The sequence below is a fragment of the Homo sapiens genome, chromosome 8, assembly GCF_000001405.40.
Source record: "Homo sapiens chromosome 8, GRCh38.p14 Primary Assembly".
Taxonomy (NCBI): domain Eukaryota; kingdom Metazoa; phylum Chordata; class Mammalia; order Primates; family Hominidae; genus Homo; species Homo sapiens.
In genome coordinates, this window is record NC_000008.11 from 20,454,646 (window position 1) to 20,474,563 (window position 19,918).

The 19,918-nt window shown below is 46.9% G+C and overlaps 2 annotated features.

The window, feature by feature from the left end:
- Positions 3,437–3,997: an enhancer, noted in NCBI's record as "OCT4-NANOG-H3K27ac hESC enhancer chr8:20315593-20316153 (GRCh37/hg19 assembly coordinates)". NCBI's record gives its function as "activates a minimal SCP1, AML or CMV promoter by ChIP-STARR-seq in naive and primed H9 embryonic stem cells {active_cell/tissue: H9 hESC(naive and primed)}" and the evidence as "EXISTENCE:reporter gene assay evidence [ECO:0000049][PMID:30033119]".
- Positions 3,998–4,557: an enhancer, noted in NCBI's record as "OCT4-NANOG-H3K27ac-H3K4me1 hESC enhancer chr8:20316154-20316713 (GRCh37/hg19 assembly coordinates)". NCBI's record gives its function as "activates a minimal SCP1, AML or CMV promoter by ChIP-STARR-seq in naive H9 embryonic stem cells {active_cell/tissue: H9 hESC(naive)}" and the evidence as "EXISTENCE:reporter gene assay evidence [ECO:0000049][PMID:30033119]".

A 19,918-nucleotide genomic window follows, 5' to 3' on the forward strand; every position in this document is an offset into this window, starting at 1 on the left:
GGTTTCAGTCTATCACCCTGACTGGAGTGCAGTAGCATAATCATGGCTTACTGCAACCTCGACCTTACAAGCTCAAGTGATCCTCTCACCTCAGCCTCCTGAGAAGGTGAGACTACAGGCATGCACCACCACATCTGCCTGATTTTTTCCTTTTTTTTTTTTTGAGACGGAGTCTCACTCTGTCGCCAGGCTGGAGTGCGATGGCACAATCTCGGCTCACTGCAACCTCCGCCTTCCAGGTTCAAGTGATTCTCCTGCTTCAGCCTCCTGAGTAGCTGGGACTACAGGTGCCTGCCACCATGCCTGGCTAATTTTTATATTTTTAGTAGAGATGAGGTTTCACCATGTTGGCCAGGATGGTCTCGATCTCTTGACCTCGTGATCTACCAGCCTCGGCCTCCCAAAATGCTGGGATTACAGGCATGAGCCACCACACCCAGCCTTTTTTCTATTTTTTATAGAGATGGGGTCTCACTATGTTGCCTAGGCTGGTCTTGAACTCCTGGGTTCAAGCGATCCTCCTGCCTTGGCCTTCCCAAATGCTGGGGTTGTAGACCTGAGCCACCATGCCTGGTCATCTTTCCCCAGTCTTAGCATGTGGATGTGAGAGCTGGAAGATTCCCAAAGACCTGGCCGGAGACTCCTGTTTGAAGGAGGAGAGGGAAGAGCCTTAAGGGGTTCCCAAGGTTGCACATCTGGGCAGGGACAGAACATCAGACACATTGTACGGCTGCAACAGGCTGGCACTGCTGACATCACAGACATCAGGACAGACCAGGAAGACACCCATCAAATTCTGGGCTGGAAGATACGGAATACTCTGACTTTACCCAAGGCTGAGCCTTCCTCAGAAGCTCCTGAGAAGAAAAGAATTCAGGGGCCTCATGAATGAGGCTCAGAAATTTGGTGCAATAATCACCAATGAGCCCCAACCCAGGGAAGTGTAACGTATCACCCCAATTTTATAAGGAAGAACACTGAGGCTCAGAGAGGTAAAGTAACCCATCCAAGAGTCATAGAGGGGGATCGTCTGGGTCCAAAGCACAGCAGCCTCATGGGGAGCACCTTGTACTGTGTCCTGTGCTACCCATTGGCAATGCAGACAGCAGGGGGGATGCGTGCATCTGGAGGAAGATTAGCATCAGCATTTCACCTGAAGCCTGAGGGCTCAAAGGAAAATGTTTTACAGGTAGCGGTAGCTCTTCAGAAAACCAGGGAGGGAAGTGACCAGGGATGTGTCTCTGCTTCTGCATGGCGTTATCATGCAAGCTGTGCAGTGTGCCCCAACTCTCAAGATCGGAGTCACTGCAGACCACCACCCGCAGCCCCAAATCTCTACCCTCTGGAAGGACGGAGAACATATTCAGGTGCAGACCTCAGCCCTCTGCATGCAGTAGAGGTGAAATAAGTCATCGTGGAAGGAATGAGTGAATGGAGAGAATCTGCGCTCAGAATCCCAACGATGGAATTGGAGGAATGTGGACCCTGGAGTCTGGATAATTTGGTATTATGTTCTGGCTCGAACTCATACTAGCTGTATGATTTTAGGTACATTTCTCAACCTTCTGAATCTCCATTTTCTCATTTGCAAACAGAGGTTGGATAGGAACACTCACTGTACAGGTTTATGGAGCGGCATTTAGGGAAACTATGGGCAGCCCCTGGCCTGGTGCTAGGGCCTGTGTTAAAAGTCGCTTTCCGTTTATAGTCCTGGAGTCACCCTTATTAACTGGATTCTACGGTTACTCTGTGCCTTGTTGTCTATAGGCCTTTGAGAAAGTCACATATCCTGTTTTTTGTTGTTGTCTGTTTGTTTTTGAGACAGGGTCTCACTATCTTGCCCAGGCTGTAGTGGAGTGGTGTGATATCCCAGCTCACTGCAGCCTTGACTTTGACTTCCTGGGCTTGAGCAATTCTCCCAACCTCAGCCTCCGGAGTACCTGGGACTACAGGTGCGTGCCACCATGACCAGCTAATTTTTCTGTTTTTTATAGAGATGGGGTCTTGCTGTGTTGCCCTGGCTGGTCTCAAACTCCTGAACTCAAGCGAGCCTCCCACCTCAGCTTCCTGAGTAGCTGGGACTACAGGTGCGTGCCACCATGACCAGCTAATTTTTCTGTTTTTTATAGAGATGGGGTCTTGCTCTGTTGCCCTGGCTGGTCTCAAACTCCTGAGCTCAAGCGATCCTCCCACCTCAGCCTCCCAGTGTTGGGATTATAGCAGTGAGCCACTGTGCCCAGCCTCACATACCCTTTGAACCTCAGTTTCCATACCTGTGACTCAAGGAATGAGAACATCTGTCCTGCACATGTGTCTCTTATAAGGGTGGATGATGATAAGCTGATAATGTTAGTGAGAATGACAATAGCAAAACATAGCAGTGTGGCTGTTGTCCACGGAGCACTGACTATGGAGCCAGGTGCTTTCAAGAACATGCAAAGCTTAAATCAGCCACGCCAAATGCTTAGAACATATCCCAGGCATAGAAGGAGTGCCCTGAAACTGTTTGCAATTGTCAGTGTTTTTACACCAGGTGACAATAGTTGGGGAGACTTGTGGAAGCCCAATCAGTGGGAAAATCTCATGGTCAAGTGTGCTGGGCACTCCACTGTCAACTGGGAATTATTTTCTTCTGTGGCCTTCCTTTTATTCCCTCCAGAGCATTTCCAAGGAGCAGCCAGCATCTGTGACTTGCCTAGGGACTTAGTGAGTCCAGCCAGCCCAGAGTCCAGGCCCTGCTGCCCAGCCAACTCCTGGCTGCCCAAAAGCACCAGGCTGTTCTGTAAGTGGAGGGCAACTGCACCTGTCCCGCACTCAGCTTCTGTCTCCTGGACTCTTGCTAACAGCTTCCCAGCTAGTTTCTCACTTTCCACTCGGCCCTTTAACCTATCCTCTCCTCTCCCACAAATACAATCTTTCTGAAGAGCAAACCTGATCCCATTCCTCCCTGCTTAAAATCCTCCCATGGCTCCCCGCTACCCTGAAGTTAAAGTCTGATCTGTTTAGTATAAGCCCACGAAGGCTGACAGTGCTGGCCTTGGAATACCTCAGCTGTCCCCTCAGGGGACCCAGTGCCCCAGACTTGAATGGTTTGAATGATTCGGAAAACCTGCCTGGTCTCCTGAGTCCATGCTTTTGCAGATCCTTGTCCCTCTGCTTCAAACACCCGCTTCCATCCATCTATCCATCCATCCATCCATCCATCCATCCATCCATTCAGTAAATAATAATTGTGCTCTCTTTACATGCCAGGCATAGTGTGAGTTGCCAAAGTTACAGCAGTCAACAAGACAGTGTTTTTGGCCCCTTGGAGCTTGCGTTATAGTGGAGGGAGATACACCTTAGAAAGAGAACAAGCAACAAAAATATGTATGTATTTTGAATTGATGTAATTATGTACACACGTGCGCATGTGTGTGTGTATGTTTATAAGTGTAAAATGCCATGAGGGAAATTAAACAGCATAATGCGTTGGTCCTTGGGGTGAGGAGACAGTAGCCTTGGATTACTAATTCATTGGGCTAACACTTATTTGTTTATCTACACTCCAATCAGGGGTCACTTCCTCCTGGAAGCCTTCCTGGATCAGAGCCCATCTGAATGGATGCCCCTTGTCAGTGCTCTCAGAGCACCACCCCCACCGCCCCGGCCATACCATGTCTCAGGGCTTAATGCGTCAACACAACTTGTGATCAGTGTCTGTCTCCAGAGGCTATAAGCTCCCTGAGGTCAGTGATTGTGATGTTCATTGCTCAGCATGGTGCCTGGCTCAGAGTAAATACAAGCTGATGGTTGTGAGTGAATGCCTGGACTGCATGGTCCAGGGCTAGGACTTGGGGTTGGAGAGATCAAGGAGGCAAACCCAGGCGGGCTCCACCCCACTCTATTTAGGAGAGTGCAGCTGCAATTGGAATTGTGGAACTCAGCTGGGCGTTTGTTTATAAACGACAAAGGCAGGTGGGAGCTTTTGAGGAGCCCCTCATTCATCCTGCCCCCATCACCTTCCAGTCATTTTCCAGTTATTTAGAACCAACAGGCCAGATAGCCCTTAACCAAGCAATATACATGTTAATGTGGAGAGCATGGGCTGAGATTGAAGTAGCAGCGAAAACACATTATTCAAAGGGGAAGGCAAGGACGAAAAGAGAAATGAATGCAGGGAGAGGCTAGGGACAGCTCTTCCCTTTATTCAAAGTCACAACCAGGCTTGTCTCCCCAGGGCCTGGTACCCTGCTGGGCCCCACACCCACTCCCCCACTCCGCAGCCTCCCTGCTAAACACTCTTCCCCCAATCTAAAAATGCCCTTAGTTTATTTTTAGCCCTTTCCAGAAGGCCCCTGGCAGTCTAACTTTAATTAGAATTGTACCCAAGGAAGCCAGAGCTATTGATGGAATGATTTCTCCTTCTCTTCTTGTTGGCATTGTGTAGGGGGTGCCAAAAATGCTTTCAGAGAAGTGGAAAATTTAGCGTTTATTTGTTTTTCTTGGCTAACTGGTACCCGTCCAGGAAGGTATGTGAGAAGGAACACCGCAGATGGTGGGAGAAGGGGGCGCAGGCTCCTGCCTCCTCCTCTCGAAAGCTGTTGGGATTCCACACCCTGGCCTCTGGAGCGTGTCTTGTTTGCTTCCTCTGTGAAGTGGGGTTACCTTTCCTGTCCAGCCTCCCTTCCTGAGTTATAATGAGAAGCAAGTGAGGTAAGGAGTGACTTTCTTATTATAAAATGAGGTGACTTTCTTATTACAAGGTGGTTTGTATAAATTAAGGATGAAGGCATGAAGGGCCATGGGCCCAGGGGCTGGAGACGGCAGGCAGGCAGGCAGGGAGGAGAGGGGTCAGATTTCTAGGTTCTTGAGCATTGCTACATCAAAGTGACCTTTGCCTCCAACTCCCTCTGGCTCTAAGGGAAGATGGGGTTTTCAGAAGGATAGAAATGGTTAGGGGGAGACCTTTGGAAATGAGGACTCCACAGCGTGCTCTAGGACCACCTGGAGGGACAGCACCCCCTTTTGATTCCAGGCCCCAACTCTGCAGGTTGTGATCACATCGGAGGTACCTGGCCAGGTGGGCTCTGGTAGTCTCCCCAGAATCTGACCAGGCACAGCCAGGGTGTCAGAGAGTGGCAGTGAGGACTCTGCAGCCCTCCTGGGAGCATGGTGGACACTCATCTAGACAGGCATATACCCCCAGCAGTGGACACACGCGGCTATGCACATGCAACCCTGCACACACACACACACGCGCGCACACACACACACACACACGGGCATGCACACATGCATGCTAGAAACTCACAGAAATTTCCGAGCAAAACCCTTATTAGTCATAGCAGATTGGGTCATTGTGCCTGTGTTTGGTATTAGTCATTGCAGGTTGGATTATCCTGTCATAACAAACAACTTACAACTAGCTCAGGGACTTAATACAAGCAGAGTCTATTTCTTTCTTTCACATATTTGCTGTGGATCCAGGTGATTTTCCAGGGCAACTTCCCCACAGGTGTTGGCTCTGCATTCCACGCTGCACCTGTCTCATGGCACTTCTGTCTTAACAGGTGATCACTACCACAGGATCATAGCTGAATGCCAACCACAAAACACTTTGGCAATTGCAGAAGGCAGGTCTCATTCCTGTGTAACCAGTTATTCATAAACATGAGTTACACCTTTTGACTCTCACCCCTTCCACTTCTCAGTTTCCTTCTCTGGCTTCATTTTCTCCTTTAGTGAAGAAGATGAACAAGATGACTTTCTGCCCAGACATTCTGAAGTGAAACATGCCCGGCAGGCTGAGCATGGTGGCTCTCGTCTGTAATCCTAGCACTTTGGGAGGCTGAGGCAGGAAGACTGCTTGAGGCCAGGAGTTTGATACCAGCCTTGGCAACATAATGAGACCCTGTCCATATTTTTAAAAACAACAAAACTAAATACAACATGCCCAAAAGTCTTGCACTCCTTTATCTTACTGTCTTGGGGCTCTGGGTCAGGTGCTCTGATCTCCCCAAGGTCACCCTATTTTGTGAGAAATATCTGGCTCCATCCCTGAGGAGCTACCTAGCAGACCTGGCTCATGCCTTCATGCCTCCATTCTTGCTCCTGATGGATGAAGTTCATCTGCCTTAATTTAGTGTCTGAGGTTTTCTAACTTCAGTCCAAATTAGTTTTCCAGACTCACTGGACATTTCAACTCTAGTCCAAATCAACAGATCACTCTTCCTTACATATGGCCTTGGGCCTCAGGTCACCCTCCTTTTCTCCTTGTTCACTCTGCTCTTTCTACGTTGATCTTGTTTTTGGTTCCTTGAATATGCTGAGCTTGTTCCTGCCCCAGGGCCTTTGCGCTTGCTGTGCGTTTGCTGTGCTCTTCCTCAACCCACTCCATCTCCTCACTGTCTTCTCAGCTGAGACGTCACCACCTTAGAAGGGACTTCTTTTTCACCACCTCTGGAGCATTGCCATCTTTAGTTTCCCCAGCATATTGACTTCATGTCCCTTCTCCCAATCAGAAGGTATCTAGTATTTTTTATTTATTTACATTTGTTGTTTGTCCTTCCCAATTAGAATGTAAGATCATGAGGGCAGGAGCTGTGTCTGTCTTCTTTACTCATGTATCCCCAGCACTTATTTTTATTTTTGAGACAGGGTCTCTCTCTCTCACACAAGCTAGAGTGCAGTGGTGCAGTTACAGCTCACTGTTGCCTCGAACTCCTGGGCTCAAGCAATCCTCCTGCCTCAGCTTCCCAAATAGCTGAGACTACAGGTATCCACTACCATGTCTTATCCCCAGCACTTAGTACAGTGAGTGGCACATAGTAGTTGCTCAGTAAAATTTGTCAACTAAATTGATGCTGCTTCTGAGTATTCACTCTCCTTCCTTCCTTCACCTGAACTTCTCCTTCACCCCATCCCCATTTTAGCATCTCTGCAGGCTACATGTTCTTTCCGTCAACTAAAAGATTACTTCTTTCATGAGTTTTTCACTTATCATGTTTCCAGTCCCCCTTCCCCCAGCAAGAAGGTATCATTCTCAAAGGACAACTATATTCTCCTTATGCTTCTGAACCTCACAACAACCCAGGGGTAAAGTCCTCAGAAACAAAGAGGCTTGGAGAGCTTCTGTGGCTGGGGTGTAATCCCTTCATGCCTTAAAACTGTGTGTCTTGCCTTCAAATCCAGCACCAATCTTCCACATGGCAGCAATGTTCGTTTCCTTTTACATGCTGGTTATACACAAAGAAACCAAACTGCAGTCCCTATCTCAGTGGGAACAACAGCTCATTGTACCTACTTCTCTCCTGATGGTCCAGGTGTCATAGAAGAGACATGTCCTGGGCGTCAAAGGAACCCCAAGGAGACTGCACCCTAGGACCGGTGGGAAGTGGGCCTGTGATGACTTCCAGGAGGACGTGCTTTGGGAATCTGGTCTTGAAAGAGGAGAAGTTGGCCAGGCTGGAGGACAAGATGGACATTTCAGGTCAAGACAGCCTCAGGACAGCATTGGAGAAAGGGCCAACGGCCCCAGATTTGCTCTCTGGTGGCTATTCAGAGTCATAGATACCTCTCCCTTGATTTTGGTGCATGGAGAAGACATGAAGTCAGATGCGACTAGAATAGGCACCCCACCACCCCCAGGGCTGCACAGGTCCGTGGTGGAGGGTGGTCTCAGGACTGGTGAAGTAAAAACCAGCCTGGAAGGAGAATAGTAAAAAGACCCGGAAAGGGCTAGCAGAGAGGGGGCATTCACAGGGTGAAAGTTTAGCACCATGGACAGCAAAAGCCAGGGACTCCTGGAAAGTAGGCAGTCGGAAGTCTGCACCAGGTGTGTCCTATTCTGCAACACATTGTTATTCTTCAAACTTTAAAAAGCTTTTGAGAAGGTCTTGGGTTTGATTCTGTCATTAAGAAGATGTGAAGCCATGGGGAAGTTGTGTAATGTCTTGGAATCTCAGTGTTCTCGTCCAGAAAGTGAAGATTATAATGCTAAAAGACTGAATGAAAAAAAATGTAAGTGAAGTGGGAAGTGAGGACCATACCTTAATAAATATGTTTCCTTTTCTGTCTGCTTGTCAGGGGCCAGATGACTGCCCCTGACCAGGGGTCATGGTTGCATAAAGCCTGGATTTCAAACGAAGGTCTCTGCTAACCTTGGGGCCTTCGATGTCTCTGGTTGGCAGGAGAGGTGCTGACTAAGCGGCTGTTCATCATAGCAAGGTGCGTTATCAGTCCCAGTTCCTCAAGTAATTAATCCCCCCCATGAAGCTTTTTTGTTCACAGCGAGTGTTAACTGTGACCGCTCCTCCACCATCCGGACAGTGAAACTTACTCTCATTTTTCTGGAGGGTAAAACAGAGGCAGAGAGAGTTGAAATGCTTTGCCCAGAAGCCCTGCAAGCAGAGAGTGCTGGAACTAGAATTCCCAGACCTGGACTCTCGAGTTTATTGCTTACCTTCTTTAAGTCATGTTCTTCTTCCCCCATAGCTCAATTAAAAACAAAATAAGACAAAACAAAAAGCAATGTTTCCTGAACAGAAAAGCACAGAGCCAGTTAGGACAAAAGTCGATTTGTTGTGGCTGGATTGGGTTTCTCCTGCCTCAGACGGCTCAAATGCTTTCACAAATGGTTTTAAAATAAATTGGGAGATAAGGTAACAATAGAGTTTCTCAATAATGATGACAATAAAAAGAAAACAAGACTATGTGGCTTCCCCCACTGTTTGACTTGCAGCTTTTGGGGAGGGAACTTCACTGGGGAGAGTGGGGTGAGGCAGAGGAGGACTGCGTCTCTTGGGGGCTGGGTGGGTAAGCCTTGCAGATGATGGAAATCTATTCAGTTGTCTCCCATGACCACACTTCTTGGAGAACACAGCAAGGATGGAAATCTTTATTTTTTAAATTTTATTTTATTATTACTTTTTTGAGACTGGGTCTCACCCTGTCACCCAGGCTGGAGTGCAGTGATGCAATCTTGGCTCACTGCAACCTCCACCTCCAAGGTTCAAGTGATTCTCCTGCCTCAGCCTCCCGAGAAGCTGGGATTACAGATGTCTGCCACCACACCTGGCTAATTTTTGTATTTTTTGGTAGAGATGGGGTTTGACCATGTTGGCCAGGGTGTTCTCGAACGCCTGACCTCAGGTGATCTGCCCACCTTGGCCTCCCAAAGTGCTGGGATTACAGGCATAAGCCACCACACCCGGCCGATAGAAGCCTTTAGAAGGAAGAGATTTGGGGCTGGCAGAAAGTTAGCTGGCATAGGGCAATGCATAGTGAATATTCCAACAAATATGAATAAACTCACTGGTCACCTCCCTCATTCCCTTGCTTGTCTCCCAGAGGCTGCCTCTTCGATCTTCTCCACCAAGGAACTGTGTCTCCTCTGTGTGAGAAGCTCCAGCGAGAGAGAGCTGAGTGCCTTCTCAGTGAGGTGGGAGATGGGTGGACACAGCAGTGGCTGGGGAGGCCTGGGCTCCTTCTGACTCAGTGGTGAGTTTGGTTGGACACCACAAACAGGGGGTTTAGTTACTGGAGTAACTGGGCTTTCATGAAAATGTTGGTTTGATAACAGTGATTATCTGCTGGAAAAGTTTAGGCACCATTAGATGGACAACGTTTAAGGGCAATTCTAGGGCTAAGAGGGTGTGATTATTGAGATGTGGGTGGCTGGGCTGGGACTAGGATGAGGCAAGAGAGGCACTAAGGCACAAAATCGAAAGGGGGCTTTGCTCTCAGGGATGAAGGGAGCACCTCCCTTCATTTTGCCCCCTGGGCATCTCTTGCCTCATCCTAGTCCCAACCCTGGTGGGTGAGCAGATATATCCATATTTCTCTCTTAGTTCCTGGAGGACTGCATGGTCACCTGAGGTCACCTGGATTAGCCAAGAGAAACAAAGAATAGGAAGGAGGCGAGTGGGTGGCATGATAAGCTCTTGTGTAAACCAAAGAAAGTCCAGTCCACTGGGGAAGGGAGAATGAAAGTGTGACAAGAGGCCGGAGGCTTTCTTTCCAAAATGTCTAGGAGGTGATGGGGGTAGGAGGGGTCTGTTAAGAAATGAGTATGTGAATCCCAGAGCCGGAGGAGTCTGGCCTTGAATCCTAGAAGTGTGAGCCTGGACAAGTCACTTTGCCTTGAGTAGTGGTTTTCTTATCCGTGAGACTAGACTCTGCTACCCTCTCCAGAGAGTTATTGAGAAGGTGAGATAAAGTATGTAGAAGGCCTTGGGAGGGTTGGTTCTGAGGATGTAAAAAGACAGTTATTTAGAAAATGCCAATTTCTCACTTTTTCCAGATTGTATTGTGGGGAAAAAAATGCCAGAAAACCTTAAATCTACCCACTAAACCCATAAATTCTGCCACCATCCTCCAGTGGAGACAGGGACAGTTGTTCTTACAACTTGGGAATATCCTTTCTTGCTTCATGCCTAACTTGGATACCCTTGGGCACCTGAGAGAGGGAGCAAGAAAGAAGGAGGAGGTGGCATAGTTATCCTATCAGAGGACCCTGAGGCTGAGTCACAGCTGGGAAAGAGGCAGGGGCATAGAAGGGAAGGGAGGAGAGCAGCACAGGCTCTGTGCTGGGTGTGTGAGTGCTAGAGAGATGGTGTTCAAATCAGTCCAATTGACACCAGTATCTGGGGTCTTTCCTCTGCACTTGTTTGTCCCTGTGAGTAGGCAGGGGTGTTGGTAATGTCTATGTCAGCCGGCTCTAACCTATGCATTACGATGAAGATAGTGATGGAAGCTTGATCCATATCAAATGCTGGTAAGTGGTAGAGCTGTAACTTAAATTTGTTCTGTGTGGTCCCAGATTTGTGATCTGGCTATTCTGCTGATTTGATTTGGCTGTGTCCCCACCCAAACCTCATCTTGAATTGTAGTTCTCATTATTCCCACATGTCATGGGATGGACCCAGTTGGAGGCAATTGAATCATGGAAGCGGTTTCCCCCATGCTATTCTCATGATAGTGAGTAAGTTCTCTCAAGACCTCATTGTTTTAAAAGGGGCTTCCTCCTTTGCTGGGTTCTCATACTTCTCCTTCCTGCCACCATGTGAAGAAGGACTTGTTTGCTTCCCCTTCTGCCATGACTGTAAGTTTCCTGAGGGCTCCTCAGCCATGCTGAACTGTGAGTCAATTAAACCTCTTTCCTTTTTAAATTATCCAGTCTTGGGTATGTCTTTATTAGCAGCATGAGAATGAGCTAATACATTTTCCATACCACATTCAGTGGTTCAAGTTCCCGACTTACTCTCCCAAGTCCTACCCTGAGCCTCCATCTGTGCTTTTAAATGAGATTGTATGAGTTAGGGTAACATTAACTGCTGTCCAAAGCTCAAAATTTCAACTTGTGACTCCACTCTTGGAACAGATACCTTACTTCTGGGATTGCTGTTCTCATCTATCATTGTAGAAGGAGGGAGCGTGAAGAATCTTGCCTGGGAGGTGGCACGAGATGCTTCACTTTTGCTCAGTCCTTCTGGCCAGAACTCAGTTACTTGACCACACTTCGAAGATGCTGGAAAGCAGCTACTCTGCACTGGCCACAAATAACTTCTGCATTTGGCTCACAAAGGTCAAGATGAGGTTGTCAAAGAATAAGGAGCCCATGGGTGTCAACTCCCCGGGCCACCCTCCTTCTGGGGCCTATTGCCTCCATCTGGTGCTGGGGTTCTGTTTCCTATGAATCCACTGGGGATACCTAGAGCTCCCTACAATCTTTAATAGCCCAAACAGGGAAAAGACCCTGGATTACACAGTTGTTTTCCCAGAATAAGGGTATATTGACATTGAGGGGAGTTTGCTTTTCATGTTCTGCAACAAGCTTTTTTTTTTTTAGAGAAGGAAAGGCAGCCTTAGAATCCCATGCAAATGTGGCTCTGAGGAAGAAGGAATTGTGGGGTGGCAGGAGAGGCTTGGAGGCAAAAGACCCGAGTGCTGATGCTGGCCCTGCCCCTCCCTGGCTGTGTCCAAGTGGCATAGCCTCTCTGAGCTTCCGTTTCCTCATTTATACCATAAAGCAAATCTTACCCCAGGGCTCCTATAAGGACCAGACATGGTGGAGGTGTTTGAAAGCATTTGGTACGTACTAGGCCTGCACCACATTTTAATATCAGACCTATTGGGAAGGAAGGAAATTATGCCCTCTTCCTTTCCTTAATCATCATCAATGCCTCATCCCCGCTGTGTCTTCTTTTCACAGCAGAGCATTCTCCAAAGTTGTGTATCAATTGAATTTTTTTTTTCTAAATTGAATCTCATTTCCCATGCACTGAGGGAGCTGGGGTTTGGAAAGAATTCTCTGGTTTGTCTTTTTGTAAAGCTAATAACCACCCCTTGATGTCTGTGGTACATAGCAGCCTTTCCATTTATTGGCTTTGTTGAAAGTAGGGTTCCCTTGTATTTATTAAGAAAACCATGTATACATGTTTGGAACTGAGAAGGAGATTGAGTGTGTCAATTGAAGAGATCTGGTCCCTCCCTGCCATGCGGGTGCAGCTGAGAATGAGATGGAAAATGTCAGAGACCAAACACAGCCACAGAAAACTCTTGGGAAGATTAGTCCATTGGCACTTGTCAAGTTGTGGCTGGGGCCTCTCGAGGAGGGCAAAAAAAGGGGCATTTTCATCTGAGATCTGTGGATGCTCTTCCAAGATCCCACTGTGCCCCAGGTGAAACCCTGGTGCTGCGTTTTTTCCCCTTTATTGAAATCTATTTCCTCTCCCTCCCACCTTACTTTCCTCCTATCAATTGTTTGCTGGTGGATGGAACACCGTGTTCTGTTCCTCACATCCCTGGACCTGTCTCCTGAGGCCCTACGCCTGACTTCAGCACAGACACAAATTCATCTGTCTAGTCTTTAAATCTCATTTGGTTTGTCTGTTTTCCCTAATGAGAAGAATAGAATTAGTTAGCTTGCTACTCAGCAGGGCACCAGTATGGTATTTATGTAAATTATCTCCTTAATAAAATTACTAAATATAGCATCAACATGGTTAAAAGGGGAAAGAAAATAAAGCTCTTAGATTGTGAGTGTCTTTAAAAAACAAAGCTATGTTCCACCACCAGGGGAAATGAAATTTAGCTTCTTAACCAGTAGGTACAAAGTGGGGGAATGGGAATAAGAAAAAGGTTAGGGAGGACAGGAGACAGAGACTGAGAGAGAAGATAGGAAAATTCTCTAAGCCAGACATATAGATAACTGTTTAATTAATTGCTCTCCAGAGATTTTGCTGGGTGTTTGGAATCAGGTCAAGAATATAACCCGTGCTTGCCTTCCTGAAAAAGATATTCTGATTACCTTTTCTTACGTCAAAGAAATTGTTCCAGTAAAATAATTAAAGGTACTAGATGTGACAAGTCAGTGTGTTTGTATGTGTACGTGTGCGCATGTGTGTGCAGGCAAGTGCTATTGTAACATATAGGCCAATACTGGGGGAGCTAGATAAAAAGAAAAACATTAGAAATCATGGACAGAGGGCCAGGTATGATGGCTTACGCCTATAATCCCAGCACTTTGGGAGGCCAAGGTGGGCAGATCATTTGAGGTCAGGAGTTTGAGACCAGCCTAATGAACATGGTGAAACCCCGTCTGTACTAAAAATGCAAAAATTAGCCGGGTGTGGTGGCAGGTGCCTGTAGTCCCAGCTACTCGGGAGGCTGAGGCAGGAGAATCGCTTGAACCCGGGAGGCGGAGGTTGTAGTGAGCCGAGATTGCACCACTGCACTCCAGCCTTGGTGACAGTGAGATTTTGTCTGAAAAAAAAAAAAAAAGAAAAAGAAAAAAGAAAAGAAACTGTGGGAAGAAATTGGAAATTTTTGAGAGGCACATTTTAGAGTCACCTACAGGAGAAACACAGAAGAGACCCCATAAGGCCTGGATTCCACCTTCTCATTTCTTCCGTGTAAGACACTCTCTGTGTTCCACCTCCTGGAGTCTCTTGTCTTTCAAGCACCTTGTCACTGCCTTTGTTCAATCCCTCCTCTCTGTCTGTACTCTCCATGATACTCTCTGGCATCCCGTCTCTAACTTCTTATATTTCGTCTTTTTAGGGCTGCCAGAAGCATCTTTAAAAATATGCTTAGATTATCATATTGTGCCAAGAAAAGTCTGTGGACCCTAATATTCTCACTTCATACCCCTCAGCCTGATGTTCAAGGCCTCTATCTCTTCACCTTACCCATCCCTTCCTGTCCAGCTTCCTGCATGAGATTCTTCTTTGCCTCTCACCCACCAATGATGCCAGAGAGATGCCCCCACCAGCTCTTCAGGCATCAATCTGCAACCAGACATCCAGGCCTTTTACACTCAGCCTCTCCATCTCTGTCAGTTCCTGGCATAATGGACTGCCCCTCCCTCTGTTGCCCCAGCACTTCCAGCTTGTGGCTCTGTTTGGTGCTGGTCCCGCTTTTCAGTACAGTCAAGTGTTGTTGCTGTATCTGAATGTGATGCAGCTCCATGTAGGGATTGAAGATGAGGGCTCTGGCATCAGCCAGGCCTGGTTCCTAGCCCAGATCCGCCACCTACCAGTTGTGTGACCTCAGGCAAGTTTCTTCATCTCTGTGCAATGCTGATTTCTCCTCTGTAAAACAGGAATAGAGAGGTCTACTCCATCGAGCTGTTAAGGGGACCAAATTGTGTAATGCCTGCAAAGTCCTTAAGTTACAGTAATCAAGCATCCAGTAATATATTAATGTCTATTGTCTGTCTTTTGCACTTGGCCATGGGGTCCTTCAGAAAAGTACAGTGTCTTCTTCAACTTTACATTTCCAGCAGCTAGGACAATATCTATCTCATAAAAGGCTTTATTGACCTTCTTGAATGAATGGGGTCACTGAGCAGTGAGGGATCCCTAAGTTTTCCCCATACTGCTGGTTACCCTTTTGTTCAGGCTGAGAACTGGGGTTCCAGGAATATGTTAAGTAGAAGAGAATGTTACACTTGAGGTGCAGCAGACATGGGTTTGGAAGCTGTGTCCCTTCTCTGTTGACTGCCTCATCCCCTTCAATCCCTGTTGCAGGCACGGAACCTGGGTGACCAGTTTATAGCAGAGAATTTTATCCACTTCTCTCACAGAAAGTGGTACCAGGTTCAGTGCTGACTCTTCCCTAAACAGGTGAGCTTGGGCAGTCAGACTCTCTGTGGGGTGTGAGCTAACAGACTCAGGGTCTGTGGTCAGCCTGTGCTGTGCTCCTGGTGAGCAGGTCTGCCATGGAAAACCAAAGCCAGGAGCAGGTCAGCGTGAGGGGTGCTAGGGCTGCTGTAACTGAGAACCACAAGCCAGATGGCTTAAGCAACAGACATTTATTGCCTTAGTTCTGGAGACTACAAGTCCAAGACCAAGGTGGAGGGGCCTGCACACCAACAAGGGGAAGGTGTCTTGGGAGAATATCAAGGTCAAGCTGGCAGCAGGGTTGGTTCCCTCTGAGGGCCGTGAGAAAGGGTCTTTTTCACTCCTCTCCCCTAGCTTGTGTGCTTTCCTGGCAATCTTTGGTGTTCCTTGTCTTCTAGACCCATCACTCCAATCTCTGTCTTCCTCTTTATGTGATATTCTCCGTGTGTGTGTGTGTGTGTGTGTGTGTGTGTGTGTGTGTGTGTGTCCGTGTGTCCAAATTCCCCCCTCTTTTTTAAGGATACCAGTCATATTGGATTAGGGCTCACGCTAATGACCTCATGTTGACCTAATTATATCTACAATGATACTATTTCCAAATAAGGTCACATTCTGAGATACTGGACATTCAGACTTCAACATATGAATTTGGGAGGACATAATTCAAGTCATAACAAAGGAGGAGCAGAAACTATAACTAATGAAGGGGAGGTGAGCAGCAGGGGGGAAATGGAACAGGTGTATATAGAGAGGCAGGCCTGAGAGACCCGAGAGGTGAGATATGTACATGCCTCACCCTCAAAAGGGTCACTCTTGTCCTCTTTACAGCTCCGCATCCCCCATTGACCCTCTCTCCTTTCTCTCTCTCTGTACATACATACATACATACATACATACATACATACATACATAAGATACATACATGGTTTCCTGGCAATTTTTGGTGTGCCTTGTCTTGTAGACCCATACATATATATATGTTATGTATATATAGAGATGCTAGAGCTACTGTAACTAAAAACCACAAATCAGGTGCTTAAGCAAAAGATATTTATTGTCCAAGTTCTGGAGGCTAGAAATTCAAGATCAAGGTGAAGGTGTCTTGGTAGAACACCAAGGTCAAGGTATCAGCAGGGCTGGTTCCTTCTGAGGGCCATTAGAAAGGATCTACTCTAGGACCCCCCCTAGCTTGTGTGGTTTGCAGGCAGAAACCAATACATATATGGGTTCTCAAACCTCCAGTTCAAGCTCCTGCCACTAGGCTCAACTCTACTTGGGTTCTGTGAGCTTCCTCTGAAGTCTTCAGGAAACTTCCTCTCGATTTGACCTAAAGTCATGGGATTTCTGTTTATAGCATCAAAATGACTTCTCTTGAATAGGGACATGCAGAAGGTCAGTTTTTACACCATATGTGGAATGCTTTTGTCTTCCACAGCTTTCTCAAAGCAACAGGAGAAAGAAACAGAGCTGCGGAGTTAGGGGAAAATAATAAACAAAGAACACACACGTTCAGCTGCATTGGGCAGATCTTCTCACAAACCTTCCTTTCCCCTTTCTACCCACACAGGCTCATTCTTATCCCCTTTTCAACTCCTATCCTCTGTTGACTCTCTCTCCTTTCTCTCTGCTTATCCTATACTTTGCACTGGAATCCCACCAAAGCACTCTCCTGTTACGTCCACCAAATTCATTTGTTGAAATCCTAACCCCCAAGCGACAGTATTTGGAGATGGGGGACTTTGGAAGGTGATGAGATCATGAGGGCAGAGCCTTTGTGAATGGGATTTGTGCTGTTATATAAGGGACTCCAGAGTACTCTCCATCCTCATTCTTCCATGTGAGGATACAATGAGAAGTCAGTAGTCTGCAACCCAGAAGAGGCCCCTCACCAGAACCTGACCATGCTGGCACCCTGATCTTCCAGCCTTTAGAACTGTGAGAAATAAATTCCTATGGTTTAGAAGCCACTCAGTCTTTGACATTTTGTTATAGCAGCCTGAAATGACTAAGACAAAAATTGGCATTGAGAAGTCAGGTGCTCTTATAACAAATACTTAAAAATGTGGAAGCAGCTTTGGAATTGGGTGATGGATAAAGGCTGGGAGAGTTTTGAGGGGCATGCCAGAAAAAGCCTAGATTGCTGTGAATGGCATTCCAAAGTTGATTCTGCTGAGAGCTCAGAAAGAAAAGAGAAGAGCTGTAGAGAAAGCGTCCATCTTGTTACAGAACACCTAAGTCAGCATGAACACGATGCTGGTGGAAACATGGACGGTAAAGACTATTCTGATATTCATATGCAGAAATGAGGAACATGTTATCAAGCAACGGAGAAAAGGGGGTTCTTGTGATGAAGTAGCAAAGAACATGCTGAATGGTATTGTTTGTGTTCTAGCATTTTGTGGGAGGTAGAATGTGAGGCAAAGTGTTGAAAGATCAGCATGGCTCCTCTTGACTGCTTATAGTAAAATGAGAGAGGAAATGCACTGAAGGTGGAATTGTTAACTGGAAAGGAACCAGAAGTTAGAGAATAAAAAATTTGCAGCCCGTCCATACTATAAAAACTGAGAAAGTGTGTTTGAAAGATAACCCAAAGGCTGTGGTGGACCAACAATGTGATACAGAGATCAGTGTGGTGTGACCCACAGATTTAATCAACCATCTCTGCAAAAGTCACGAATAGAGATGGCATGATACCAGCAGAAACACTGCTGGCTGAGACTAGAGGAATCAAAGAAAATGTACAAAATGAAGGGAGCCTGTCACACTTCTTAGATAGAGAAGTCTGGACTAGGAGCAGACCATAGAACTATTCAGCTGCCACTCTTCATGTGCTACTCTTTTTTTTTTTTTTTTTTTTTTTGAGAGGGAATCTCACTCTGTCACCAGGCTGGAGTGCAGTGGCATGATTTGGGCTCACTGCAACCTCCGCCTCCTGGGTTCAAGCGATTCTTCTGTCTCAGACTCCCAAGTAGCTGGGATTACAGGCATGCACCACCACGCCCGGCTAATTTTTGTGTTTGCTAGTACAGATGGGGTTTCACCATGTTGGCCAGGATGGTCTTGATCTGTTGACCTCGTGATCTACCCGCCTTGGCCTCCCAAAGTGCTGAGATTACAGGCGTGAGCCATCACATGCAGCTACTCTTTAAAACAAGGGAAGAAGGACCTTGAGGGTGATTCAGAGATCATCATGGCTGCCACTCCCACCGCAGACTCAGAGTGCAAGGGCCTGGGGAGCAGAACTCCCTCCACCTTGATTTCAAAGACTAGAACCAATGCCCAGTGGACTTCAGGGGCTAAGGCCATGTAGCAGAGGCTGGGAGCATAACCCCCACCCCAAAAGAGAACTTCAGCATGGTCAGGGCTGCTGCAGAGAGCCACGGCATGGGCATCCCTTTCAGCTGTAGGGGTGATGTTGCCATTCTAGTGGGCTTGAAAGGTGAGAACACTTCCCCAGTGGAGGCAGAAGGCAGAACATCAAGCCAAAGAAGATTGTTCTCAAGCCTTAAGGTCTCATGGAGCTTGCCTTGCTAGGATTTGGACTTGCTTAATGGGAATGTCTATCCTATGCCTGACCCACCATTGTATTTTGAAAGCACGGAACTTGTTTAGTTTCACAGGTTCACAGTTAGAGAGGAATTTTACCTCAGGATGAATCATGCTTTGAGTCTCATCCATATGTTAGATGATATTTAGATAAGACTTTGGACTTCAAACTTTAGAGGTGATGTTCAGAAAAGAAGATTTTTGGGGTTGGTGGGATACAATGAATGTATATTGCATGCAAGAACGACATAGATATTTGGGGGTAAAGGATGTAATGTTATAGACTAAATGTTGTATTCCCCCCACCCCAAATTCATTTGTTGAAATCAATGAATATGATGGGACTGGGAAGGAGGGTCTTTGGGATGTGATTAGGCCATGAGGGTGGAGGCTCATGAATGCTATTAGTGCCCTTATAAAAGGGACTCCAGGCCGGGCATGGTGGCTCACACCTGTAATCCCAGCACTTTGGGAGGCCGAGGGAGGTGGACCACTTGAGGTCAGGAGTTTGAGACCAGACTGGCCAACATGGTGAAACCCTGTCTCTACTAAAAATACAAAAATTAACCCAGTGTAGTGGCATGCTTCTGTAATCCAAGCTACTAGGGAGGCTGAGGCAGGAGAATCCCTTGAACCCAGGTGGCGGAGGTTGCTGTGAGCCAAGATTGCACCACTGCACTCCATGCACTCCAGCCTGGGCCAAAGAGCGAGATGCTGTCTCGGAAAAAAAAAAAAAGTCACTCCAGAGAGCTCTCTCATTCTCATTCCACCACATGAGGATACAATGAGAACTTGGCAGTCTGCAACCTGGAAGAGACCACCTCACCGGGACCTGAGCATGGAGGTTCCCTGATTTTGGACTTCACAGCCTCCAGAATGGTGGGAAATACATGTCTGCTGTTTGTAAGCCACCAGCATATGGTCTTTTGTTACAGCAGCCCAAGCTGACTAAGATCCCTCCTCTCTCTAGCCTTCGAAAACCATCTGTGTAGGTAGGGCCTTTTGTCTGGGCCATACAGTTCACATTCAGTTTGTTTGGTGAGGAATTATTTCCCCACATTTTAAGTGGGTTGAGGTCTCATTTATTTAGTGAACCTTCAAATTCCATAAAGATACGAACACTCCCTTGGCCTTGCTCCATGATGCTCAGCAAACATTAGTGGAATAACTATATGGCTGCATCCCCTCTTCTTGAAAAACAGGTGGTTTACAATGGTGTTAAATTCAGGAGGTAGATAAAGACACCTAGTGTGAAGTTCCCCTCCCAT